Source organism: Homo sapiens, chromosome 12 (assembly GCF_000001405.40).
Source record: "Homo sapiens chromosome 12, GRCh38.p14 Primary Assembly".
NCBI lineage: Eukaryota > Metazoa > Chordata > Mammalia > Primates > Hominidae > Homo > Homo sapiens.
In genome coordinates this window covers 105304283-105331414 of record NC_000012.12, presented here as the reverse complement: position 1 = coordinate 105331414, position 27132 = coordinate 105304283, and the positions used below count along the sequence as shown (strand labels likewise).

The following is a 27132-nucleotide window of genomic DNA, read 5'->3' as shown; positions in this document are numbered from 1 at the left end:
CCCACCCTTCCCCGCTTCCTGCCCCACCACCACTGCCCGAAAAGTCCTGTCTTGCTCTGCTGCACTTTTCCAGGTGCAGCGCCTTGGTTCCGAGGAGATGGGGGAGAGGCCTGGAGGAGCAAGTGTGGGAGGTGGGGGAGCGGCCGGGGACCACGTCCGGGAATCCTCTCCCCCAGGAGAGCCCTGAGACCCGCCAGCTGCAGGTGAGCCCCGGCGGCTGCAGGGGAGCCCGCGACAGTCCTCCCCGCGCTCCCTCGGCAGAGACGCCCCGCAGGCTCGACTGCTCCAGGCGCAACCGCCCCCGCGCGGGGGACTTGCCACGCTTTCGGTCTTTCCAGAAACGGGCGGTCTGCTCCTGTCCCGAAAATGGGGACGGGGAGAGGGGGCTGCGCGCCCCCCACCCAAGATCCCTGCACCCTTCCTTCCCGCCGCCTCTCCCGCCCGCCCCCGCCGGCCCCCGCCTCCCGCCGGACTCACCTTGGCCCGCGCCCGCGCTGGTGGCGGTGGAGTTCCCGCAGCCCATCGCGCAGCCGGCCGGGGAAGCCGCGCTCCGGAGCTCTCGGCCGCGGGTCCTGGGGGCGGAGACCCAGACGAAGGGCGGCGCACCCCGAGCGGGAGGCTGACGGGGCCGCGAGGGGCCAGGAACCGAGTGGGGGCCGCCCCCTCCCACCGCCGGGAGACGCGGCCCGGGGCGCAGCGGGCTGCGGGCTGCCGGGCGGAAACCACCCGGCACCCCTCGCCCCGGCCCCGCCCCGCCCGGGGACCCGCCGGACCCACCCGTCGCCCCAGCAACCTCGGCACTGGCCAATCCCCAGCCTCCTGCGCGCTTCGCGGTCGGCCATTGGTCGTTATTACGAGGGGCGGGAGTTTAAAGTGGGCCCCGGGGCGAGGGAGCGGCAAGGGGCGTGGCCGGCGCAGCGGGGTGGGGGTGCCCACCTGCCCACCCTCAGCATCCTCCTCGCCTTGTCTTTGCTTTTCTTTCCTCACTTCCCCTCCCTGCCCCAGGATGTGGGGAGGAGAGGAAGTAGCAGGGGGCACCCTGCACAGTGGACGCCCAATAAATGCTATTGACTGAATGTTGTGCAGGTCTGAAGCCAAAACCGAAATCCCCAGCTGCTTTAACAGAAGGCCAACGCAGCTCTGTTCCCCATACGCACTGCCTGGCAAAAGTTCTTCCCCAGATTGGTCATCTTGACCTATTCCTCTTTAAAACAAATGTCTGCAACGATTTCAATAACTTGGATTCAGGACCTCCTCTCTGATAAATGAGAGAACTGTGGATGGGCACGGTGCTGTACGTTTCAACATGATAGTTGGGCCAGCGTTACTGCAGTCAGACTGTCTGAGTTAAAGTCTTCGTTCTGCCCCGTGATAGCTGCGTGACCTCAGGAAAGTAACTTAACCCATTGGGTACATCCCTTGTTTCACCTATAAAATGACAGTAACTCAGGTACATATAAAGTACCTAACAAAGTTCCCTATCTTTAGTAAATATCAGCTATTATCATTATTATTATTAACTCTAATAGAAATGAATACAAATTCCTTAAAGGGAAAGACTATCTGATTTTTCATAGCGTCCTCCTGGCTTGTAATACAGACTCACTAAATGTTTTGTGAGGTGACTTCAAGCCAGGAATTAAAGCTCCATTTTAAATTCACTTAATATTTGTAGGGAGCCTAGCCTGTGCCAAGTCCTTTGTTAAGTTCCGGGGATACAAATATGTGGGAGACAGTCTAACCAGGCAGATAGATTAAAATAAATTAATTACAATATAGAAGGAATGTTAACAGAGGAATACAGGTGCCATAGAGTCCCAGAGGATGCTGGGATGCTAGTTAAAAGACTTGCCTAAGGCCAGGCATGGTAGCTTACACCTGTAAACTAGCACTTTGGGAGGCTGACACGGGCGGATCACGAGGTCAGGAGTTCGAGACCAGCCTAACATGGTGAAACCCTGTCTCTACTAAAAATACAAAGATTAATTGGGTGTGGTGGCATACACCTGTAATCCCAGCTACTTAAGAGGCTGAGGCAAGAGAATCACTTGAACCTGAGAGGTGGAGGTTGCAGTGGGCCGAGATAGCACCACTGCACTCAAGCCTGGGTGACAAAGCGAGATTCTGTCTCAAAAAAACAAAACAAAACAAAAAAAAAACAGACTTCCCTGAAACCATACTGTTGTGTTTACATAAAAATAAAAATATGAACCAGAATCAAGGACTTGGCAGGTTTTTGAACATGGCCTTTGAGGCAATGGTGCGTTCTATCATTCAGGATGCAAAATATACAGCATTCTCCATTTGAAAATTAGCTGTGGTAGCCATGTGCTGAGAGGATAATTAATTCTTGGATAAATAAAGGCATTTTTTAGTTGACTTCTAGAAGTACTGCTTCTCTACCAGCCTGTGCTGTCTTGGTTCAGTGTCCATCCTAATACATAGCCAGAACTGGGGAAAAGGGAACTATCAAGTAGCCGAAAGATATTCTCCTGCTTATTTCTGTGCTGACACTAGACTCCAGCCTTAGGACACTTGTAAGAGACAGAAAATGGACCTTGACACCTAGAAACTGGCCTAGAAGCTGTGACACTCAACAGCTGGGCCTTTGCATTCTCCTGTTAAACACAGTTGCATAGAACACCAATATCACACAAGGCCACTCTATAAACTATGAAATGAGACAAAAAACAAGGTGACTCGGTAATCTTGTCTAAGTGCTGACAAAAACAAGGTCATTGTGCAAACCCCCAAAACACCAAACATCTCCCCATCCTGCCTGATAGGATTGTCTGCTGCTGCTTTACCAGTTATGGTTTTAGCCCTGTTCTTGTCTTCCTGCCTAGAGATGAGGTTCATTAAGAATCTCTAATCATAGAATTGTCCCTGCTTCCTGACAATATCCAATGTAGAAAAAAAAAAAAGTTCTGCTTCCTTAAATCCCAACCAAAATCACCTATTATGAACCTAAATCCTGTAGGTTCTTTTCTAACACTCACTTACTGAGATATCTCATGGTTCCTCGTAGTGTGCATTCTGCCCTATAATGTTATAGATTATGTGATCTATCCATTATTTCAACAAGCACTATTGAGTATCACCTTAAGAGCTCCAGCCATGAGGACTTACCTGTTGGGTACAATGTACACTATTTGGGTGATGGTTACACTAAAAGCCCAGACTTCACCACCACCCAATACATCCGTGTAACAAAAATGCACTTGTACCCCCAATCTGTTTTTAAAGTGCCAGCCACTCTTCTAAATGTTTGAGAGACAGCAGTGAACAAGAGAGAGAGGAAAAATCAAGTGGGAGGAGATACATCAAAGCAAATACAATCAGATAATTTTAGATACAAGTGCGATGGGAAAAAATAAGTCACTGGAATAGGAGACTAGGAGTAGAGGGAGAGGTGCTATTCTAGATATAAGGTTGGTGCAAAAGTAATCACAGTTTTTGCTATTACTTTTAATGGCAAAAACTGCGATTACTTTTGCACTAACCTAATAGAATGGTCACAGAAGGCCCTCTGAAGAAAGGATATTTTTGTGAGGTGTGGTTGATGTAAAGAAATCAGACATTGGCCGGGTGCGGTGGCTCACACCTGTAATCCCAGCACTTTCAGAGGCCGAGGAGGGCAGATCACAAGGTCAGGAAATCGAGACCATCCTGGCTAACACGGTGAAACCCCATCTCTACTAAAAATACAAAAAATTAGCCAGGCGTGGTGGCGGGCACCTGTAGTCCCAGCTACTCAGGAAGCTGAGGCCGGAGAATGGCATGAACCTGGCAGGCGGAGCTTGCAGTGAGCCAAGATCACACCACTGCACTCCAGCCTGGGTGACAGAGCGAGACTCTTGTCTCAAAAAAAAAAAAAAGAAAAAAAAAAAAAAAGAAATCAGACATGGGAAGATCCAAGGAAAGAGGATTCCAGGCAAAGAGAATGACAAGAACAGGAGCCCTGAGGCAGGAACGTGCTAGGTGTGTTTCATAAATAAGAGGGAATTTTAAAAAAAAGCCAGAATTCAAAGGCCCATCTGTGGAGTAGAGATGGGGAGGGTGCGGATTTCAGAGAGGGGGTCAGAACATACACCGTGGAAAGGAGTTAAAATTTTATTCAAAGGGCAAGCAAGGTCATTTGGTGAGACAGAGTATGAAAAGTTCCTAGTAAAATGTCAGGCATATAGTAAGTACCCAATAAATGTTAGTCCTCTTCCTAATGTGGAATGAAATAGCAAGTCTATGTCCCCTTTTTCCTTTTTAGGAATTTTATTTTATTTTATAGACAACAGTTGATTGCATGTGGATGTTTTTAAAAACAATGAGTCAAAAGAAAATCATTAACACATGCCTCATTTCCTGAGTGGTCAATTTCAGCTTCTTTCCCTGTGTCAGTTAGATCACACCACTTAGCTGTCATTTTCATTCTTCCAAACAGAACTGATCTGGCATGAAGGAGAGAGAAGAGGTGTATGAGTGAAATTCATCTGACAAGAAAAAGAAAGCAAGAGGTAGGAGAATATAAACCTGAGTAAGTCTAAGTTTTCATGATTTTTCTTCCCATGAAGGGCTCCCCACAAAAAGTCTGGCAGCCTAGATTTTCTTTTTGCTTTTCTCTTTTTCCCTCTTGACATGCTGCAGGATGGCTGCCTCAGCACCCGGTAGCAACTTCATACATAACCATACCCACCAACAGAAAAGAGAAAAGAGGCTCTTCCCCACACTGTGTCACTTTTTTTTTTTTTTTTTTTTTGAAATGGAGTTTCGCTCTTGTTACCCAGGCAGGTTGGAGTGCGGTGGTGGGATCTCGGCTCACTACAACCTCTGCCTCCTGGTTTCAAGTGATTCTCCTGCCTCAGCCTCTCCAGTAGCTGGGATTACAGGTATGCACCACCACGCCCAGCTAATTTTGTATTTTTAGTAGTGATGGGGTTTCACCATGTTGGCCAGGGTGGTCTCGAACTCCTAGCCTCAGGTGATCCACTTGCCTCGGCCTCCCAAAGTGTTGGGATTACAGGCGTCAGCCATTGCGCCAGCCTGTGTCACTTTTAAATCCAGGTGGCACCCAGAACACTTCCTCTCCCATTGCATTAGCCAAGATTTCATTGGCCTTTTCTTGATCCAATTACTGGAAATTGGTTATAATTGGCTCTAGTAAGTTACAGTTTACCCTTGAGTCATGATGGAAGTGCAGGATAGACACCTGAAAAAATTGGGGCTCTGCTGGCAAGAAAAGGAGGGTAATGAATAACTGTTTAATCATTAGTTGTATATCAAAAGTTGTCAGAATCGAAGTGGAGTCACTTTATTAAAGCCCTGACAAATAGAGGCTGGGAAGGCCATGAAGGAAATGTTCCCACGTACATATGGCTGATTACAAAAACAACCAGAAAAGGATGCAAAACTCACAATCTTTTTTTTTTTTTTTTTGAGATGGAGTTTCACTCTTCTCACCCAGGCTGGAGTGCAATGGCGCGATCTCACCTCACTGCAACCTCTGCCTCCTGGGTTCAAGAGATTCTCCTGCCTCAGCCTCCTGAGTAGCTGGGATCACAGGCATGTGCCACCACGCCCAGCTAATTTTTGTATTTTTAGTAGAGACAGGGTTTCGCCATGTTGTTCAGGCTGGTCTCCAACTCCTGACCTCAGGTGATCTGCCCACCTTAGCCTCCCAAAGTGCTGGGATTACAGGCATGAGCCACTGCACCCGGCCAAAACTCACAATCTTGCACAAAGGGTACTGCACCCTTATACAAAAAAAAATTTTTTCTGCAAAGACATCTGCCCAGCAACTGCCTGTCGAACCTGACTGGCATAACCCTTGTTATTGATCCTTGTAGCCAAGGACAATTATCTCAAAACAATTATGTAATCCTCCTTATTTATTCTTTAAAAACCATTATCTTCCTTTACTTCCCCGAATACACCCACCATATTCCATTGCAATGCTTACTCCCAAATAAATATTATTTTCTTTTAGAGAACTTCTCTTCCCATTATTTAGGGTTTTTCAGTAGTGATAAAAATTACAAATGTGCCCCAATATCCAGTTCTCCTTTGGGTTAGACTGCCCTAACCCTTTGAAGATGGGCATGGACATGTGACTAGTTTTGGCCAATGAAATGTGATTAAAGGTTAAATATGACTTTGAGATTCTGGACTGCTAGGAGTTAGGAGGTAGGAATGCAAGAGGTTTATTGGGGGTGATGCCTGAAAGATACAGGGAGCGTGGAGTGGGAGGGGATCAGGAGTAGGCAGGGAAAGCCTTCAGACTGCATTGCACATCTGACACCCTTGAGGGGGAAATACAAAGACAGGTAAATTCGGAGTGAGCAGAAAGAAGCTTAGACTGTGGAGCAGCTCTGAGAAAGTCTTGGCCAAGGCCAGTGGGAATCTCAAAGGCAGATTGCCTGGAGGGGAGTCCCATGTTGGGCAGACATGACTAGGCCGTAGTAATTCCACCAGGCTGTGAGCTACCCAGAGCTCAGCTTCAACACAGCAGCAGATTCCAAAGGTGCTAACAGCTGGAGGCTGTCAGCCAACTTCACTCCTCACAACAGAGCATCTTCAAGGGTGGTAGACAAGAAGTACTTGATTACAAGAGTAATAAAGATTCTGCAGGCCAGAGGCCATGGCTCATGCCTGTAATCTCAGCACTCTGGGAGGCCAAGGCTGGGAGACCATTTGAAGACAGGAGTTCAAAATCAGCCTGGCCAACATGGTAAAACCCCATTTCTACTAAAAATACAAAAATTAGCCAGGCATGGTGGCGCATGCCCGTAGTCCCAGCTACTTGGGAGGCTGAGGCAGGAGACTAGCTTGAACCCAGGAGGTGGAGGTTGCAGTGAGCCAAGATCATGCCACTGCAGTCTAGCCTGGGCTACAGAGTAAGACTCTATACACCCACCCCAAAAAAAGATTCTACAGTAAGCTAGATTCTAGATTCTCCAGCTGCAATGACCCCAGAAGCACATGTGGAGGTGTTGGCTCCTCCGTCAGCCTGCACCCCTGAGTCACTGCGTGGCATGGGGTGGAGGACCTCACCCACACCCACACTGAACCTGCAACATGAATGAGAAAGAAATATTTGTGATCTGTAAGCCACCTGAGATGTTAGGGTTGTGTTATCATAACATACCATATTTTAGCACAGCACTGTATAGCATAGCACAGCATAGTATAGCATAGTACAGCATAGCATAGCATAGCACATTATAGCATAGCATAGCACATTATAGCATAGCATAGCATAGCATAGCACATTATAGCATAGCATAGCACATTATAGCATAGCATAGCATAGCACAGTTGCAGCAACTAACTGTGTCTGCTACAGTATACATTTCCAAATATATGGGCCTACAATTGATAATAGTGTTTTCTTGTGGTGATTGTAATCCCTTTTATATCTGTGGATGTGCCTCCTTTTGCCTTCCCGTAGTGTTTATTTGCACTTTTTCCTTCTTGATTAGTCTTGCTATAGATTTGTTCATTTTGCTGGAGTTTTCAGAGTCCACTTTCTTTTTTAACCATTTCTTTCTTTTTCTGTTTTGTTTTCAATTTCATTTATTTCCAGTCCTTCCTTTTCCTGTTGTCTTCTTTCTAATTTCTTTGGATTTACCCTGATATTATTTTTTACAACTCCTTGAGTTAAATACCAAATTCATTTAAGCCTTCTTTTTTCTTCCGAATATTGCTTAAATTGCATCCAGATGGTTTGGATATTTATTATTGTCATTGTCCTTCAATTTTAAATTCCTTATAATTTTCATTGCCTATTAACCCATGAATTATCTAGAACTTTTAAGTTTCCAAGTAATTTATTTTTCAAATGTGTTAATAGTTTTACTCTTGATTTTTAAGTTGTCTTGGAGAGAGTTATCATTATGAAAGTGATTCTTTGAAATGCATTGGGACTTCCATTGTCATTCTCCTGGTGTTTAATATTTGAAGATGTTTCAAAACCCTTTCTTATAGCATATGCTACTTATTCAGTCCATAAATTACATATTTTTACAGACAGCATTGAATATATGTATTTGTATCTGTCTGATTAGACTGGTAGTTCCTTGATAGTAGAGATAGTGTCCTGCAATTTCCTTGCTGCACTAAATAGCACATAAAAGTTCTCTGTGTGAGTGTAAATGTGGGAAGGAAGACAAAGAGAGAAAAGGAGGGAGAAACAAAGGAAGAGAGGGAGAGAATCATTGTAAAATACTTTTTTTTTGTTTTAGCCCAACTGCCATTATTAATCCTAGGGCTGGATTTCAAGACAATTCACATAATCTTTCTGAAAATAATAATAATGAAAATATTTTGACTACTTACCATGGATCAGGCCCAATGCTAACTACTTTGCATGAATTATCTCATTTAGTCCTCATGAAAACCCAAAAGGTAGGTTCTATCATTATAGTCACTTTACAGATAGAGAAGCAGAACCATGGGCTCATTCAGCTTCCTTTTCCTCTTCTGGTCAAGTGAAACTATGTCTTGTTGAGACCTAAATGTCCACTGTCACTGTCATGTCAGATATTTTTCTCATCATTCTGAAGAGAGTAGCAAATGTCATTCTTCACTACAGGCAGAAAATTCTTCCACGTTTATATGAATGAATGAATGAACGAATGCTACATTCACCATTTAATATTATATTGTGGTTTGTTAGCGACATTGTAGCAGTATCTTACACACCATCTTAATACTTAGGAAGCACTATTTGTAAGGCAATGTGCTGGGTGCTACAGAATTTTTAAAGAAGAGTTAGATCTGATGAATGGCTTCAAGGAATCTCTAATGCAGTAAGGGAAAAATGACATGTATGACACAAGCAACCATAAAACAGTCTGTGATGAATGCATTAAGATGGTATTTTAGATACTGTTACAATATTGCTAGCAATCCATCCCAATATTCAGTAACTTATAATAACAAGCATTTATTCTCATGCTCACAGATCTGCAGGTGGATCAACTGTGGGTCAGTTCATCTGGGCTGGGCTTAGCTGGGTGGCTCTGCTTTGGACTGAGGTTGGCTGGGCTTGGATCCTAACTCTGAGTTGTTTGTCCTGGGACTGAAGAGGCAGTGGCTACGCAGGGCATGTGCTTCTCATAGTGGATCACCAGAATGCAAGATCCAAGCCAAACTGTGACAACATATTTAAGGCTCTTATTACATCTGCTAATGTTTCATCGACCAAAGCAAGTCACTTGGCCAAGCCTAACATCATTGGTTTAGGGAATTGTACTTTGTCCACAGTGGAAGAGGGAAAGGAATAAATATTGGTTGAACGATAATTCAAATTATCACAAACGAATACAAAGTGCTTTAAGTGCTTTAGGAAAGAGATTAGCAAACGATGGCCTACAGGCAAATTCGACCCACCATTTGTTTTTGAAAATAATGTTTTATTGGAAACCAGCCACATCTGCTCATTTACATACTATCTATTTCTGCTTCTATATTCCAGCAGCAGAGTTGAGTAGCTGCAACAGTCACTATATGGCCAACAAAACCAAAAATATTCACTATCTGTCCCTTTACAGAAAAGTTTGCTGATCCTGCTTAAGGAAATACAAGAAGGAAACAGTCTGACAACACAGAAGTTCCATATCCATACCCGTGCACGTGCACCCTAAGGACAGCCTACCCCCTGCTACTCTCCAGACCCTCTTCTAACACATTTAGCAGGGGAAAGAGACACACAAACATTTATTTTCCTGCTGACATGAATTATGTCATCCTGTCTTAAAAGACAAAAATGTCTCTAGCTAGTTTGGGGTTTTAATAACATAAGTGTCCTCCACTATGTATCAGCCGGGATACCTGGGATGCAAACAACAGAAACTGACTCTGGCTGATGTAACCAGGAAAGGGATTAACTATAAGGTTGTTGGGTGGTCCACAGACTTGATAGGAAGGTTGGGGAACCAGACCTGGGATGCCATGAAGAAGCCAGGGAGGTTGGGCAAAAGGAACACACAGCTAGCATGCACTGTGCCTGTCCCCTAGTGCCACACTACTGCCACTGCCTCTACCCCACACTGCTGCTGTCACAAACCCAACCCCACCTTCACTTAACCACGTGCCTCTCTCTCGAGGTTCAAAGTCCCAGAAGGAAAGGTCCAAGGTCAAATGCTGTATGGGGTCAGAGAGAGCTGCTGTCCTCCCTTTAGTTGACAGAGGGATGGAGGAGCTCTGCCTTCCATTGTGACCTAAACACTAACCCCAACCAATTTTTCCAGAAGTTGTAAGAAGCTTCATTTTCTGAGTAGTTTTAAAAGGCAGTTATCCAGTCTGATGTGTATAATATTTGATTTAAGAACATTGAATCCAATGCTTTTACTTGCAAGTGAGGAAAACAGAGGCCCAAAGAGGTCTGGCTCACAGTTCTTTTACAAGTTCTCAGAGCAAGAACTTAAACTCATGGCTTATTGTTTCTTGTCCAGCTCTCTAGATGGTTCTGCCCCTTTCATCCTGAAAGAGAGAACAGAGCAATGTCACTCCCTGCCTGTCCTCCTCCCTTGCAGATAATATGCTTCCTTTGGGAGAATGAGAGGTTGAGGTTTGTAGGTGGATCTTTTGGCCTCAAATAACCACCAGACTTGAGAGGCAGCTCTGGCCCTGGAAACCTAGAGAGCTGGCTGAGTGGTCCAGAGGAGCTGGCTGGGGAGGCAGGTACTTAGCGGGCAGCACCCACCATAGGTAAGAACAAAGGACAATCATGGTTTTCTCCTGGCTCTTGGCTGCAAGCACATCTACCTGGAGCTGAAGCCTATCCTCAGTGGCTGCCATGTTCCCCACCCAACCCCACGCTGATCCCTGGCTTCCAGGGCATTGAGACTTCTCTGGTTCCCTGGTTCCTTCCCTTTCTCCCTCAGGTCGGCCAAGAGCTGACTATAGTTTGTAAAAGAAACTTTACTAGGGAACCAGAAGACAACAGCACCCACAGCACTAAGCCTTCAGCATAGAGAAGGGTAAATTTACACAGCTCCTAGCTGACTAGACTAGATTACCAGGCACCAAAAAATGTCTGTTCCCAGGCAGAGGCCAATTTGCTCCTGCTCCTCCTCTGAAAGCCTCTCTGCTTGGCAGGAGTAGCTCAAACAGGAAGCCCAGCTCCTTCCACAGTCCTGATCCAGCAGATGGGCATGCCCGGGAGACTTCTTCCACGTCCCCCTCCTGCCTACGAATCCACTGACTCTTTGGATGAAATGTGGTATAAGCAAGGCAGAAATGGGTTGGCTTATGTAACTGAAAAGTACTGAAGCAAGGATGCCTTCAGTTGTGCTTGGACAAGATATGAAAGCCATCGGGACTTGGTTTCACTCCATTTCTGGGCTCAGCCTCACTCTCAGGTCCCATACGGCAGGCACCTCCTGGTAGCATCAGGCTCTCCACCTTGTGGTGGTAAGACAGCCACAGCAGCTCCTCGTGTGATCTTAAGTTCAAAGCCAACAGGCAAGACCATGCATCAGTTCCTGTAGTCCCTGCTAAATACCTGACAGGACTTCTGATTGAGCCCGATTTCCTTACATGCCTGTCCCTCAACCAGTCACTGAGGACGAGAGGATGTGGCAATATGGCCAGGCTTGCTCCATCAGCCTTCCAGCCAGACTTCCTGGACTAAGAGTGAGGCGGGGAAGAGCAGCATCCAAGCGAGCACCCTTTCCCTTTCTATGCCTTGCACTAAAGAGCGGCTTTCAGAATGTAAACTGACCAAGTCACCACCCCCTCCTTTTCCTTGGACTCTTCAATAGCTTCCCATTGCTTTTATGATACAAATACAAGTCTTTCACGGGGCCTACAAACCCCTGCTTGGTCTGACTTCTGTCTGCCTCTCCTACTTCTACTTCTTTCAGCTCCTACACTCCTTTTATCACCTTCTTTCAGCTCCTTGTACTGCGGGGCCCTCCCCACCACTGAGCCTTTGCATAAGCTGTTCCCTCTGCCTAGAACACCCTTCCCTCCCCTCATTGCCTAATTAATTTCTGCTTAGCCTTCAGGCTTTACTCAAGTGTTGCTTCTTCACAAAGCCTTGTTTCAACCTCCCTGATGAGGCTAAATTTCCCTATTAGAGAACCTGTTGATCCTCAAAGCAGTTGTCACAGTTGCACTTTCATGTTTGTATATGATTCTGAGATGTGCTTCTCTCTCTCCCTCTAGACTATCCCTCATTAGGGCAGAGATCAGGCCTGGTTTTGCTTCATTGTTGTTTGTCAACCTCAAATAATCAAAAGGGTCAGAATCTAGTTTGTTTGTTGATTTTTTTATTTTTAGAGACAGGATCTCACTCTGTCACCCAGGCTGGAGTGCAGTGGCACAATCATAATTCACTGCAGCCTCAAATTCCTGGGATCCTCCCACCATGTCAGCCTCCCAAGTAGCTAAGACTACAGGTGTATACCTCCATGCCTGGGCAATGTTTTTTTGGTTTTTTGGTTTTGTTTTTTTTTTTCCTTTTTTGTAGAGACAGAGGTCTCATTATGTTGTCCAGGTTGGTCTCAAATTCCTGGCCTCAAGTGATCCTCCCACCTCAGCCTCCTAAAGTGCCAGGATTGCGGGCATGAGCCACCATGCCTGGCCAGAAACTAGTTTGAAGAGAGTTGAATTCAAGTGCAAAAGTTGAAGATGGCCACTTGGGAAGCACAGATTCCAAAGAATGGAAGTCAGTGTTCTGAAGTGTAGAAGTTTGGGATTGTTTACATAGACAAGGTTTAGGGAAGCTTAGCAGAATTTCAACATTTTTCTACAAGAGGCCGAATGCAGAGTTACAATGATCTGATTAGTCGAGGTGGTCTTTTCCTTTCAGGAAAGGTACATTTAACATTCCACACTGAAGATGTAACAGTCATGGACTCTTTTGTACCATCTGGTCTGAGTTACGTACAAGACAAAAATGGAAGGGCTTAATCTACAACAAAGATCAGTGATTGGAAGGGAAGGAATTCTGGTCTCTGGTCTCTTCTAATCATTTACAGAACAAGAACAATGCAGAAGAGAGTTAATCTATAATCTAAGAAGCGTAAGTTGCAAACATGCTACATGACTCAGTTTCCAGGGTTTAACTTCCCCCTTGGCAAAATACATTTAAACGGTCCTGAAAATTTCTTTTCTTTTGCAATTACAGCACCTTCATTGTCTAAGTGTATTGACAATTCATGGAGATCAGTCAAACCTTTATACTAGGATCTCAAAAATGTGGCTAACACAGCCAGAATGTCAATATCATGTCTAAGTTTAGCTGCTAATTGACCTATCAAATGGCCTTGTTGCCATGACTAACTAAACAATATACATGAATGGTTAAGATTAAATTGCTTGGAAAAGAGGGAGGGAACTGGAAGGTGAAAAGGAGACATTTAATCATTATCTAAAGCAAAAGGAATTTGGACTCCTGCACCTGGAACCTGGACTCAAAAGAGATTTCTAAAGGAAGTGATTTTCAAATCCAGGACCCTTTAGTAGAGAAGAATCTGCCAGGCTTCAGAGAGATAATGAGGACATCATTTTCTGATTTTAAATGCTACAACAGATGTTTTTTTAAAAAAAAAAAAGATTAATTAAACTACTACAGTGTTTTGTAGCTTGAAGATCTTGCGGTGTGATTTCAGATAGTGTCTCAGGCTGGAAATGTCCTAGATTGAGGCTGCATTCTGAATTCCCATTTCTTGCAGATTCAATCCACCCACCTTGAGTTTCTCCAGCTTCACCCACAACTGGCTGCTGCTAACCCCACCATGAATCAGACTTCTCCCTGTGTTTAATTTGCAGAAATTTCATTTTCTAAATGCCTTAGTGATGACCCTGGTGAACACTCGCATTCTGTTTTAAGATAGAACAGGGCAGGAAATTGGAGGCTTATGACTTTGGAGCCAGACAGACATGGAGTCAACTCCCTACCCTGCCATTTATAGCTAAATAACCTAAAGCCTCCTAACCTCTTTAAGCCCAGGGATGGACATAGTCTATATAGCAGACAGAACACAGACTCTGCGCTACAGTGCCTGGGTCCAAATCCTAACTTCACTTAAGCCCAGGGGATAGAGAGTCTATACAGCAAACAGAACGCAGACTCCAGCTGTGGTGCCTGGGTCCAAATCCTAACTTCACCACCACTTACAAGCAAGTTACTTAATCACTGTGTATCTGTTTCTATCTTTTCTTTTTTCTTTTCTTTACTCCTTTCTTTCTTTTTTTTCTTTCTTTCCTTTCTTTTTTCTTCCTTCCCTCCTTCCTTCCTTTCTCTCTCCTTCTTTCTCTTTCCCTTGCTCTCCTTCCTCCCTTTCTTCTTTCCTTCCTTCTTTCCTCTCTCTCTTTCTACTTCCTTTCTCCTTCCTTCCCTTTCTTTCTTCCTTTCTTCCTTTCTTCCTTTCTTTTCTTTCCCTCACAGGGTCTTCCTATGTTGCCCAGGCTGCAGTGTGTTCAGCTCACTGCAGCCTCAACCTCCTGGGCTCAAGCCATCCTCCCACCTCAGTCTCCTGAGGAGCTGGGACTACAGGCATGCACCACCACACCTAGCTAATTTTTGTGTTTTTTGTATAGATGGAGGTCTCACTATATTGCCCAGGCTGGTCTCAAACTCCTGGGCTCAAGCGATCCTCCCACCTCGACCTTCCCAAATGCTGGGATTATAGATGAAAGCCACTGCTCCCAGCCTCTCAGTTTCTTTATTTGTAAAAAAGAAAAAGAATAATGTGTTCATCCCTCAGTATTTGCAAGGAATTGGTTGCAGGAACCACCCCCAACCATTCCCCATGTACCTAAATCCACACACACTCAAGTCCCACAGTCTGCCCTGCAGAATCTGCTTATATGAGTTTTGCATCCCTTGAATACTGTATTTTCCACTGGGGCTGGGTCAAAAAAAATCCACATATCAGTGGACCTGAGCAGTTCAAGCCTCTGTTGTTCAGGATCATAAAAGGGTTCATATGAGAATTAAATGGGTTAATATAAGCAAATCACTTCAGTGTCAAGCACGTTAGGCACCAGGTGACAGTTTTAGTATAGTAGTAGTCATGTTATTGTCATTATCATCTAAGTTTTGTATGGGAATTAAATGAGATCATAAAGCACATCACAAACAGTAAGGATTAAATCAATGGTAGTAATTACATACTCACAACTTCAGAAAATATGAAAGCAGAGGATGCTTATTCTTATTTATTTAACAATAAATATTTTTAGTGAGTCATTATAAAATGCTGGATTCTGTGCCAGCTGCCAACCATAGGGAAGTGCAGACAGGAGCCCAATCCTCAACAGACCCTCAGGCTGGCCGGGAAACAAATGTGCCCTAAGATGTGTCAGGCTCTGTGATCCAGGTTTATGTCAGCTTCAACGGAGGCCCATGGGACGGGTAGGTGGCCAGGCCGTGAAGATCATGGAGGGCTCCCTAAAGGAAGTGACGCTTGAGCTGAATCTTTAAATATGAGTAGTGCTAGTCAGATGAAGACAACAAGGAAGGCATTCAGGAGAGGAAGCAACCACACCCCACACTGATGCCAAGTGCTCTTTCTGTCTTAACATGTCTGATCACATCATTCTACTTTATGTCCAATCTCGGCTTCCCAAGAAGATAAAGGCGAGGCTTTCCAGCAGACATTCAAAGCCTTGTCCCAACCCAACCCTAACCTCTGGCCTTGTCCCCACCTGACCCATCTCCAGCCACTCCTTGTCATGAGCACTGTGTTCTAAGCTCACCACATGGACTCCCACCACCATACCTTTGCTCATGCAGGTGCTCCTGCCAGGCATGTTTTCATCCCCTCCTCCACCCAGCACGTTCATACTCCACCTTCAAGGCCCATCAAGTGCTGCCTTTTAAACAAGGCTTCTATATGCCTGAGAAGAATTAATTCCTATTCCCTCCATACCTTAGGCACATTCCTTACCACATTGTATCATTATATCTTGTTTAGATCCCTCTGTATCCCACCAACTAAAATATAAACTCCACAAGATCAGGGTTTTATTTGACTTTGCATTCCCAGAGCTCAGTCAAACACGTGGTAAGCATGGGTAACCTCCCATCGACTTCAGCTATTATTTCTCTGATGGATGCTGAGCAAATGTTCATTGAGTCAGGAAGTCAGTACAAGTAGAACTTGTTTGAGGAAGGAGTCAATAAACCAGATCAGAGATTGTTCAAAGCAATTTTGTGCAGCATTTCCTGACTTTCTCTCTCCTTAGTTTCCTGAATACAGGCTTTTGAAATGTACAGCCAATAAGAAAAAAGTAATTGGAACAAATTACTTTGTTCCAATTGGAGTCCCACATCCCCTTGAAACACATAGTTCTGGTATATGGGCTTCTCTTGCCATCCAGTGAGCACTCATTGGCTATTAGAGATTGTGACCTAGATTTCCCTGCACAATAAATCAGAAGCAATTTCTACCTATTGGCATGGAATGAAATTCTTATTCTCCATAGCTTGCCAGGGACATACATGAGATCAATTTGGGCTCTGCTACTAGAAGTGGGGACTTGGCCCTCAGCTCCCCACAGTGAATGGTGCTAAGAGCTTCTTCAGTGTCACTAGGAATGAACCACACCTTCTAGGAGAAGGCCTATGACAGCAAAAGTAGGATAAGGCCAAGCAATAGCTCTATATTACAAAGCCCCAGGGACACCATTCAGATTTTATTTTACATATGTGCCACCCCGGGAGTACGTGGAGTACAATGAAAATGTACCCCTTGGACTTATGAAACACAGAAACACTGGTCTGGTGAAACTGGTTCAGTAGTTCTCAGCTTTTACTAAGCATCAGAATTAGATGAGTTTCTTAATAAAAGTGCATTCCTAGGCCTCAGCCTCAGAGAGTCACATTTAGTAACTTTGATATGAGCCTACAAATCTGAATCTTAAATTAGGACACCCACAGGTGATACAGATGCAAGTCTCCTTGGGATCATTTGCTGATCAACATTGACCTAGCAAGTACATTGTTATAGGAACACTATGATATCGGGGGAACCAGCCCCCGATAATTCAACATAGGTTCTTTTCTATTTTCCCTAAGTGTCGGCCAGTCTGAGAAGTAAAGGGAAAGAGTATAAAAGAGAGAAATTTTAAAGCTGGGTGTCCAGGGGAGACATCACATGTCAGCAGGTTCTGTGATGCCCCCCAAGCCACAAAACCAGCAAGTTTTTATTAGTGATTTTCAAAGGGGAGGGAGTGTACAAATAGGGAATGGGTCACAGAGATCTCATGCTTCACAAGGCAATAAAATGTCACAAGGCAAATGGGGGCAGAGAGATCACAGGACTGGGGCGAAATTAAAATTGCTAATGAAGTTTCGGGCATGCATTGTCATTGATAACATCTTATCAGGAGACAGGGTTTGAGAGCAGACAACCAGTCTGACTAAAATTTACTAGGCAGGAATTTCCTCGTCCTAATAGGCCTGGGAGCGCTATGAGAGACCGGGGCTTATTTCATCCCTTATCTTCAACCGTATAAGACAGACATTCCTAGAGCAGCCATTTTAGAGACCGCCCACTAGGAACACATTCTTTTTCTCAGGGCTGTTCCTTGCTGAGAAAAAGAATTCAGTGATATTTCTCCTATTCGCTTTTGTAAGAAGAAAAATATGGCTCTGTTCTGCCTGGCTCTCAGGCAGTCATACCCAATGGTTATCTCCCTTGTTCCCTGAACATCACTGTTATCCTGTTCTTTTTTCAAGGTGCCCAGATTTCATATTGTTTAAACACACATGCTTTATGAACAATTTGTGCAGTTAAGGCAATCATCACAGGGTCCTGAGGTGACATACATCCTCAGCTTACAAAGGTGATGGAATTAAGAGATTAAAGTAAAGACAGGCATAGGAAATCACAAGAGTATTGATTGGGGAAGTGATAAATGTCCATGAAATCTTCACAATTTATGTTCAGAGATTGCAGTAAAGACAGGCATAAGAAATTATAAAAGTATTAATTTGGGTAACTAATAAATGTCCATGAAATCTTCACAATTTATATTCTTCTGCCATGGCTTCAGCCGGTCCCTCCGTTCAGGGTCCCTGACTTCCCGCAACATCTCTCCCTTTCTTTTTATATAAATGTGCCATGGTGATAAAGGCTTGTTCATTCTCTCAATTTTGATGCAGGATTCTTTGACTGGTCTGGCACACTAAAGACAAGCCAGTTAAACAGAGAAACATAATTCCAAAATTTACTACAGTGGAGCCCCCAATAGACTTAATCCAAGTCGTGGGGTTTAGTCCAGAAAGATTTTCTGCTGCCTGATCTAATGCCTCAGCTCCAGGCACAATGGATAAATGAGCTTGAGAGGCTTCAAAAATTTGTTTCTTTAATTCAGTTATGTCCAATGATAAATTATCTTCCCTACCTAGAAGGTGTCCTTTGACCATTTCCCATGAATGATCAGTTTCATTACAGGAATACGGGGTGATACAGAAATCAGAAGTATTCCAATCGCACTGCATTTGCATGCGATGTTCAAGACTCACTACCCAATCTCCAAGCCAAATAACAGACTGTCTTAAATCATTAATTTGATTAGCAAATTTTTGATCAATGCCTTGTTGAGAATTCCACATTTGGGTGGAATTGGCTTGCCAATCATTAACAAAATGAGCCGTTTGAATAGATTGGTGTAATGCCATTCCAGCAGTAGTGGCCAGTGCAGTGACTGTAATTAGGCCCATGATCACAGCAATTAAAGTGAAAACAAATCTCTTAGATCTTTTTAGAATTTGCTGTAACACTTCATTAATTAAATGTATTGACGGGGAGGATTCCCAAAGTCTGGGCAAAGTTACCGGAATCCAGATTCCTTCTTGAGCTCGAACCAACATTACACTTTTCCCAGAGTCAAAATGGGAGTTAATACAAGTGTATAAATGACTGTTAATGCATTGGACAGTTTGATTGCTCGTCCAAATTTTGATATTTCCCACTAACAGCATGTAAGGAGGCTTAACACAACTCTGTATGGGAACAGTCAGGTTGGAAGTAAGCAAAGCAGAAAGTCTGCATTTATGTTGATACTGAGGGAGAGCAACGGTATTGGGGACAACAGACAGAATAGTTTCCCCTTCCCATACTTGCAGTCCAGACATGGCAATAGCCAATTTCCAAAGTTCTGGGTGTTCTGGGCTCAGAATGGGGAGTATCATATGAGGCCTCGGGGTGGGGGGGTGGGTAATGCCTTTATCTTCCCATTTTAAGGGAAAGAACGAGTTGAACCTCCTATGCAAAGTAGAATGATGATTCTTGTTCTCCTGATAAGAAATCAAATAAGCAGCCTCCAGGCATTCCTTTCCGTCAGAGGAGGAATTGTTTTTTAAATAGCCCTTTGGTGCCCAGTCTATTACTAAACCATATGAGTCATTTTTTAATATTACTGCATGTGAGTTAACACAGTCTTCCCAAATTAAAGTTTTAGATGGGCCCTCAAAATTTTTAGGGCATGGTTTTCCTGCAGGTTTATATTGAAAGTATGGGGTATCTCCCATTACTCCCCCTTTCATTTGTTTTAAACAAGAAAGGGAGAGGCCAGAGACTAAATGTCCCGGTTCCTCTGTAGCTGATCTCTCCAGAAGATAAGCAGCCCAGACTTGAGTTTGTAGATGGATACAACCAGGTGTATGTCCGAGGCACAGAGAGGGGTATTTATAACCCATGGTAACATTAAATGCAGTGCCTTCTTCTCCTGGTTGAGTGGGGCAGTGGTCATCTGTAGCTCCAGGCATCCACACACTATCATTAGTGTAGATTTGTGCAGGAGCATCCATCCAGGTGAGAGGTCGAATAAGTGGAGGAAAAGGCACATAAGCCCAATAAGAATAATTTTGTGTAGCAGGTAAATCAGTGTGAGAGGAAACTGGTGAGACAGAAAGTATAAAGAGGAGAATCATTAAATAAAACATAGTGTAAGTGAGATTCAGTGCTGAAGGAGGAAGAGAAGAACAGAGAGATGTTATTTTCAGGCTAATAGAAATGGTGAGATTTTTAGGTTTGTAAGGAGAAAAAGAAAGGTAGTCAGGAGAAGTGGGATTAGTTAGATGGGTCTCCATTGCCATCAGGGAGGATTGAATCAGACCCATTGTGATTTGGTGTGCCAGCTTCTAAGGAGTTGACACAGATCTCACCACGTCTGAGGGCGGTCTCTGATACGGATGTCTTTTCTCTGTGGTTTTCGTTGTCAGTATTCACCCAAAGCTTGAGTCTCCTGGTGGGTACCCAGACAGGGGATTGATGATCTCCTGGTGAAACACAAGCATATCCTCTCCCCCACATTATAACTGTGCCAGGTTCCCAGGTATTGGTTTGGGAGTTTTTCCATAACACTGGCTTGCCTTCATTTAGGGAGAATTTTTTGCCTGTATAATGGCGTTCAGCTGCAGTTAGATCTTTAGGAACATTAAAAAATTTTAAAGTAAACAATGCCAAATGTAATTGGGAGTTGGGGGTAGTTAAATTATGTTTTTGTTGCTCAGACTGTTTGGAGAATTGGGTTTTTAAAGTGCAATTGGCCCATTCCACCACAGCCTGTCCCTGAGGATTGTAAGGGATTCCAGTAATATGGGAAATTCCCCACTGTTGCATAAATAAATCAAAAGCCTTACTGACATATCCAGGGGTGTTGTCTGTCTTTATTTGATATGGAAGCCCCATAACTGCAAAGCAAGAATACAGATGTTTTTAACATGGGCCGTGCCTCCCCTGTTTGGTAAGTAGCCCAGATAAAACCTGAGAAGGTATCTACAGAGACCTGCACATATGACAGTCTGCCAAAGGAGCTAACATGGGTCACATCCATTTGCCATAAATCATTAGGAGTTAGGCCTCTGGGATTAATGCCAGGTTCCTGATTTGGAAGTACAAAAACTTGGCACTGAGGGCAGCAGTGGATAATAAGCTTAGCCTGTTTCCAGGTAAGAGCAAATTTATCTTTTAATCCAGCAGCATTGACATGAGTGAGATTATGGAACTCCTGAGCTTCTTGGGTTGCAAAAGAGACCAAACAGTCAACTTTATGATTACCAGCAGACAGGGGTCCTGGTAAAGTGGTATGAGATCTAATATGCATAATATAGAAAGGGTGTCTACGTTGGTGAACCGACTGTTGTAACCTTGAAAATAAAGAAGCCAATTCAGAATTATCAATGTTTGATAGTAGCAGTTTCTATATTTTTAGTGGCATGTAAAACACAAGCAGAATCAGAGACAATATTTAAAGGTTTGGGGAAATCCTGTAAGGCCATAATCACAGCAATTAACTCTGCCTTTTGAGCAGAGGTATAAGAGGTAGAAATAAGCTTGTCTGTAGGACCTACATAACCAGCATTGCCATTACTGGAGCCATCAGTGAACACTATAACGGCCTCAGGAATGGGCTGATCTTTGGTTAATCGAGGGACCACCCAAGACGTCATTTTTATAAAATCAAACAAGTTGTTCTTTGGGTAATGATTGTCAATAACGCCAATGAAATCAGCAAAGTGAATTTGCCACAGTACGGAATGTTGAAAGGCGGCTTGAACTTCCAGCCAATTTAAAGGAACTACAATTAAATTCGGATCAAATCTGGAAATTTTAAGTATTCTGCACTATGCCTGTCCAATTAGAGTGGCCATTTGAACTAGATAAACAGACAAAGTTTTTGACACAGAGTGAGGAAGAAAACACCACTCCACTAAATCATTATATTGAACTATTAGTCCAGTAGGGGAGTGTAATGAAGCGAAAACCAGAAGCTGAAAAGGCTGAAACGGCTGTACTCTAGATAACTGGGCAGTCTGGATTCTTTCCTCTATGAATTCCAGTTCTAGTGAAGCCTCAGGGGTCAAAGTCCTGGGACTGTGGAGATTGGAATCTCCCTGCAGCATAGAGAACAAGTTAGACAGCACATAGGTCAGAATGCCTAGAGTAGGTTTTAAATATTTAATGTTACCAAAAAGTTTTTGGAAGTCATTTAAAGTTTTTACAGAATCTCTCCTAATTTGAACTTTTTGAGGTTGAATACATTGTTTATCGACCACCATTCCTAAATATTGAACAGGAGTGGTCTGTTGAATTTTATCCTGAGCGATGTGTAATCCAGCCTCTGTAACATGGCAGCTCAAACTTTGAGAACAGTCAATTAATTCTTTATCAGTGGGGGCAGCAATTAAAATACCATCAATATAATGAAGAATAAATGTTGGGAGCAAAATCTGGCCATAAGCTGGTCCCAAGACTGGCCATAAACAAAATCTCTGCAGCAGTGTAACATGTTCATAATGGCCCTAATGTGCTGCAAAGTTGTGGGTTTACGGGAATGAGGGCAAGGAACACCTGGCCCGCCCAGGGCAGAAAACCGCTTAAAGGCATTCTTAAGCCACAAACAATAGCATGAGCAATCTGTGCCTTAAGGGCATGTTCCTGCTGCAGTTAACTAGCCCAATCTATTCCTTTAATTCAGCCCATCCCTTCATTTCCCATAAGGGATACTTTTAGTTAATTTAATATCTATAGAAACAATGCTAATGACTGGTTTGCTGTTAATAAATACATGAGTAAATCTCTGTTTGGGACTCTCAGCTCTGAAGGCGGTGAGACCCCTGATTTCCCACTTCACACCTCTATGTTTCTGTGTGTGTGTGTCTTTAATTCCTCTAGTGCCACTGGGTTAGGGTCTCCCCGACCGAGCTGGTCTCGGCAAGTGGCGTCCATCGTGGGGGCTCGAATCCAAGTCAAAGGATTGCTGGAGCGACGGTTGGAATGGAAAACTAGCTGGAGGACACCCGAGTACTCTTAAAGCAATCCCCGTGGTGAGTAAGAAGGGGAGCTCAGAAGCGTCAGGGTAATGATGGGACAGGTATGGTGTCTGGTTTGTATCACCTTGGAACTTTTTCACACTGATAATGAGGAGGAACAAGAGTATAGCGAAGTAACAAAAGAGGTTACAGAGCATGTTTATTTACCAGCTAAAGCTAAAGCGGCAAAGGAAGGAGAGGTTCATCCCTACCCTTCTGCACCCCCTCCTTATTATTTTGAAGACAAAGACCCTCCAGATCTTTCTTTTCTGGAGGACACTGGGCAAAAAGTAGTTGCCCCAGTGACTGTTCAAGCAGCCCCTTGAGCGACGGCTCTTAGTTCTATTCAGGCAGGAATTCAGCAAGCTAGACGAGAGGGTGATTTAGAGGCTTGGCAGTTCCCTGTTAGAATACACCCCCCAGATCAACAGGGAAATATTATAGCTACATTTGAGCCTTTTCCTTTTAAATTCGGGAAAGCACATTCAGTTGATTATATCAAGGCCTGTGATGGTATCGGAGGTAATCTGCATAAAGCTACTTTGTTGGCACAGGCACTGGCAGGACTGAGAGTGGATAAAGGAAATACTCCATTTCCTGGAGCTTGTTTTAACTGTGGGAAGCATGGTCATACTAAAAAAGAATGTAGAAAAAATCAGCGAGTCAGGCTGCCAGATAGGGGAAAAAAGAAAACTGTTGAGCCTGAAATATGTCCAAAATGTAAAAAAGGAAAACATTGGGCTAGTCAGTGTCACTCTAAGTTTGATAAAGAAAGAAACCCAATTTCAGGAAATGCCATGAGGGGCCCATCCCGGGCCCTGTTCTAAACCAGGGCATTTCCAGCTCAGGCCATTCCCTCACCCCTGTACAATGTCTGTTCCCTGCCACAGCTAGTAGTGCCACAGTAGATTTATGCTGCACAAAAGCTGTGAGCCTTCTGCCTGGGGAACCCCTGCAAAAGGTCCCAACAGGAGTCTGTGGACCCTTGCCAGCAGGGACAATAGGATTACTTTTAGGAAGGTCTAGTGTAAGTTTAAAAGGAGTACAAATACATACAGGAGTCATTTATTTAGATTACAATGGGGAAACTCAAATTGTTGTGTCTACTTCTGTTCCCTGGAAAGCAGAGCCAGGAGAGTGCATAGCACAGCTCCTGATTGTGCCACATGTGGGAATGGGAAAAAGTGAAATTAAACAAACAGGAGGATTTGGAAGCACAAATAAACAAGGCAAAGCAGCTTATTGGGTAAATCAAATTACTGATAAACGTCCTACCTGTGAAATAACTATTCAGGGAAAGAAATTTAAAGGTTTGATAGATACAGGAGTGGACATTTCAATCATTTCTCTACAGCACTGGCCATCCACATGGCCAATTCAACCTGCTCAATTTAACATAGTTGGAGTTGGTAAAGCTACTGAAGTATATCAAAGTAGTTATATTTTGCATTGTGAGGGGCCTGATGGACAACCTGGGACTATTCAACCAATTATAACTTCTGTACCTATAAATTTATGGGGAAGAGACTTATTACAACAATGGGGAACACAAGTTCTAATTCCAGAACAATTATATAGCCCTCAAAGTCAACATACAATGCATGAAATGGGGTATGTCCCTGGTATGGGACTAGAAAAAAATTTGCAAGGTTTGAAAAAACTGCTTCAAGCAGAAAAACAAAGTTCCCGCCAAAGATTAGGAAATAATTTTTGATGGTGGCCATTGTTAAGCCTCCAGAACCTATACCTTTAAAATGGTTAACAGATAAGCCAATTTGGATAGAACAATGGCCGCTAAGTAAAGAGAAACTGGAGGCTTTAGAGAAATTAGTTATTGAACAATTAGAAAATGGGCACATAGCTCCAACATTTTCCCCTTGGAATTCTCCAGTTTTCATAATTAAGAAAAAATCAGGTAAATGGAGAATGTTAACTGACTTAAGAGCCATCAGTTCAGTTATACAAACTATGGGAGCATTACAGCCAGGATTGCCTTCTCCTGCTATAATTCCAAAAAATTGGACTTTAATAGTCATAGATTTAAAAGACTGTTTCTTTACTATCCCTTTAGCTGAGCAAGACTGTGAATGGTTTGCATTTACAATTCCTGCAGTAAACATCCTGCAGCCTGCTAAGCATTATCACTGGAAAGTGTTGCCACAGGGCATGTCAAACAGCCCAACAATTTGCCAGACATATGTGGGGCAAGCAACTGAACCTATTCTTAAAAAATTTTCATAGTGTTACATTATTCACTATATGGATGATATACTTTGTGCTGCCCCAACTCCAGAAATATTACTCCAATGTTATGATCACTTGCAAAATTCGATTTCTCATGCTGGTTTAATTATAGCTCCTGACAAAATTCACACTACTACTGCTTACTCCTACTTGGGGACCTTAGTGAATGACACTACCATTGTGCTACAGAAAGTAACCATACATAGGGATCAACTAAAAACATTAAATGACTTTCAAAAATTACTAGGGGATGTTAATTGGATACGACCTGCTCTAGGCATTCCTACCTATGCCATGAGCAATCTGTTTTCTATCCTTAGAGGAAATCCTAGTCTCACTAACCCTCAGCAATTAACAAAGGAGGCTGAGGCAGAGTTACAACTGATTGAGAAGCAAGTCCATAAAGCTCAGATAAATAGAATAGATCCAGAGAAGACTCTAGATTTGCTAATTTTTCAACTCAGCATTCACCTACTGCTGTTATTGTCCAAGAACAAGACTTAGTAGAGTGGCTTTTTCTTCCACATACTAATTCACAGACTCTAACTCCTTATTTAGATCAAATCACCATGATAGGGATTGGAGAACTCGAATTGTTAAATTACATGGATATGATCCTGGAAAAATTATTGTCCCTCTCACGAAGGCACAAATACAGCAAGCTTTTATAAATAGTCTTACTTGGCGAACCCATTTAGCTGACTTTGTGGGTATTCTCAATAATCATTTTCCTAAAATTAAGCTGTTTCAGTTTTTGAAATTAACTAATTGGATTCTCCCTAAAACAACTAAATTTAAACCAATTTAAGGTGCTGAGAATGTTTTTACAAATGGGTCTAGTAATGGTAAAGCTTCTTATTCTGGCTCAAAAAGTAAAGTTTTCCAGACGTCCTATACTTCAGCTCAAAAAGCGGATCTTGTAGCTGTAATTGAGGTATTGACTGCTTTTGATATGCCTATTAATGTGATTTCTGATTCTTCATACATGGTTCACTCCACACAGCTAATTGAAAATTCTCAGTTATGATTTCATACAGATGAACAACTGATGACTTTATTTACCCAGTTGCAAACAGCAGTTAGGAGTAGAATGCACCTTTTTACATCACTCACATTGGAGCTCGTATACCTGTTCCAGGACCTTTGACTGAAGGGAATCAAATGGCTGATTGCCTAGTTGCTAATGCAATATCTAATGCTAGACACTTTCACAATTTAACCCATGTTAATGCCTCTGGTCTCAAACGCAGATACAGCATTACCTGGAAAGAAGCTAAAGCTATTATCCAGCAATGCCCAACTTGCCAAATGGTACATTCCTCATCTTTTACAGGAGGAGTTAATCCTCGAGGACTGGAACCTAACTCTCTTTGGCAAATGGATGTCACACATGTTCCCTCATTTGGGAGACTAGCTTATGTACATGTATGTGTGGACACCTTTTCTCACTTTGTCTGGGCTACATACCAATCAGGAGAGTCTTCTGCCTGTGTTAAACGTCATCTTTTGCAGTGTTTTGCGGTGATGGGCATTCCAGCTTCTAGTAAAACAGATAATGCCCCAGGCTATACTGGCCAAGCTCTAGCTACATTTTTCTCTATGTGGAATAGTAAACACATTACTGGTATCCCATACAATTCTCAAGAACAAGCCATAGTGGAAAGAATGAATCTCTCCCTAAAACAGCAGTTGCAAAAGCAGAAAGGAAGAGACAGAGAATATGGAACCCCACAGATGCAACTGAACCTAGCATTATTAACTTTAAATTTTTTGAGCCTGCCCAAAGGCCAGATGTTTTCAGCAGCTGAACAGCATCTACAGAAACCAGCTGCAAAGACAAAAACAGAACAACTGATTTGGTGGAGAGATCTGATAACAAAAAGTTGGGAAATAGGTAAAATAATAACTTGGGGTAGAGGTTATGCTTATATTTCTCCAGGACAAAATCAACAGCCAATTTGGATACCATCAAGACACCTGAAACCTTATCATGAGCCAGATGCCGAGGAAGAGACTCCAGGAAGATCCCAAGGACACCCCAGTTGCAGCCATGTCGAGACTGATGCTGAGGAGGACCCCAACTGTCACGAGCAACACCCGTCGAACACAGCCACCCA

General features: G+C 43.4%; 1 protein-coding gene and 1 long non-coding RNA gene across 2 annotated transcripts in view, besides 3 other annotated features; one reads left to right on the top strand and one right to left on the bottom strand.

Annotated features, from left to right (window-relative positions):
* C12orf75 (chromosome 12 open reading frame 75) overlaps window positions 1–724 on the bottom strand; it is a 40828-nt gene extending 40104 nt beyond the window's left edge. Inside the window, exon 1 of the mRNA NM_001145199.2 lies at window positions 478–724. Within this exon, the coding sequence (NP_001138671.1) occupies window positions 478–523 (46 nt within the window). The 5' untranslated portion in view covers window positions 524–724. The remainder of the gene's footprint in view (window positions 1–477) is intronic.
* Window positions 299–398: a silencer, noted in NCBI's record as "silent region_4810". NCBI's record gives its function as "represses an Ori minimal core promoter by ATAC-STARR-seq in GM12878 lymphoblastoid cells {active_cell/tissue: GM12878}" and the evidence as "EXISTENCE:reporter gene assay evidence [ECO:0000049][PMID:35858748]".
* Window positions 429–1088: a silencer, noted in NCBI's record as "silent region_4809". NCBI's record gives its function as "represses an Ori minimal core promoter by ATAC-STARR-seq in GM12878 lymphoblastoid cells {active_cell/tissue: GM12878}" and the evidence as "EXISTENCE:reporter gene assay evidence [ECO:0000049][PMID:35858748]".
* Window positions 4032–4081: an enhancer, noted in NCBI's record as "active region_6942". NCBI's record gives its function as "activates an Ori minimal core promoter by ATAC-STARR-seq in GM12878 lymphoblastoid cells {active_cell/tissue: GM12878}" and the evidence as "EXISTENCE:reporter gene assay evidence [ECO:0000049][PMID:35858748]".
* C12orf75-AS1 (C12orf75 antisense RNA 1) lies at window positions 4398–26548 on the top strand. Its single transcript, NR_131986.1, has 3 exons — window positions 4398–4511; window positions 22635–22786; window positions 26266–26548. It is a non-coding gene; the product is annotated as a C12orf75 antisense RNA 1 (long non-coding RNA).
* The last annotated feature ends 584 nt before the right edge of the window (window positions 26549–27132 follow it).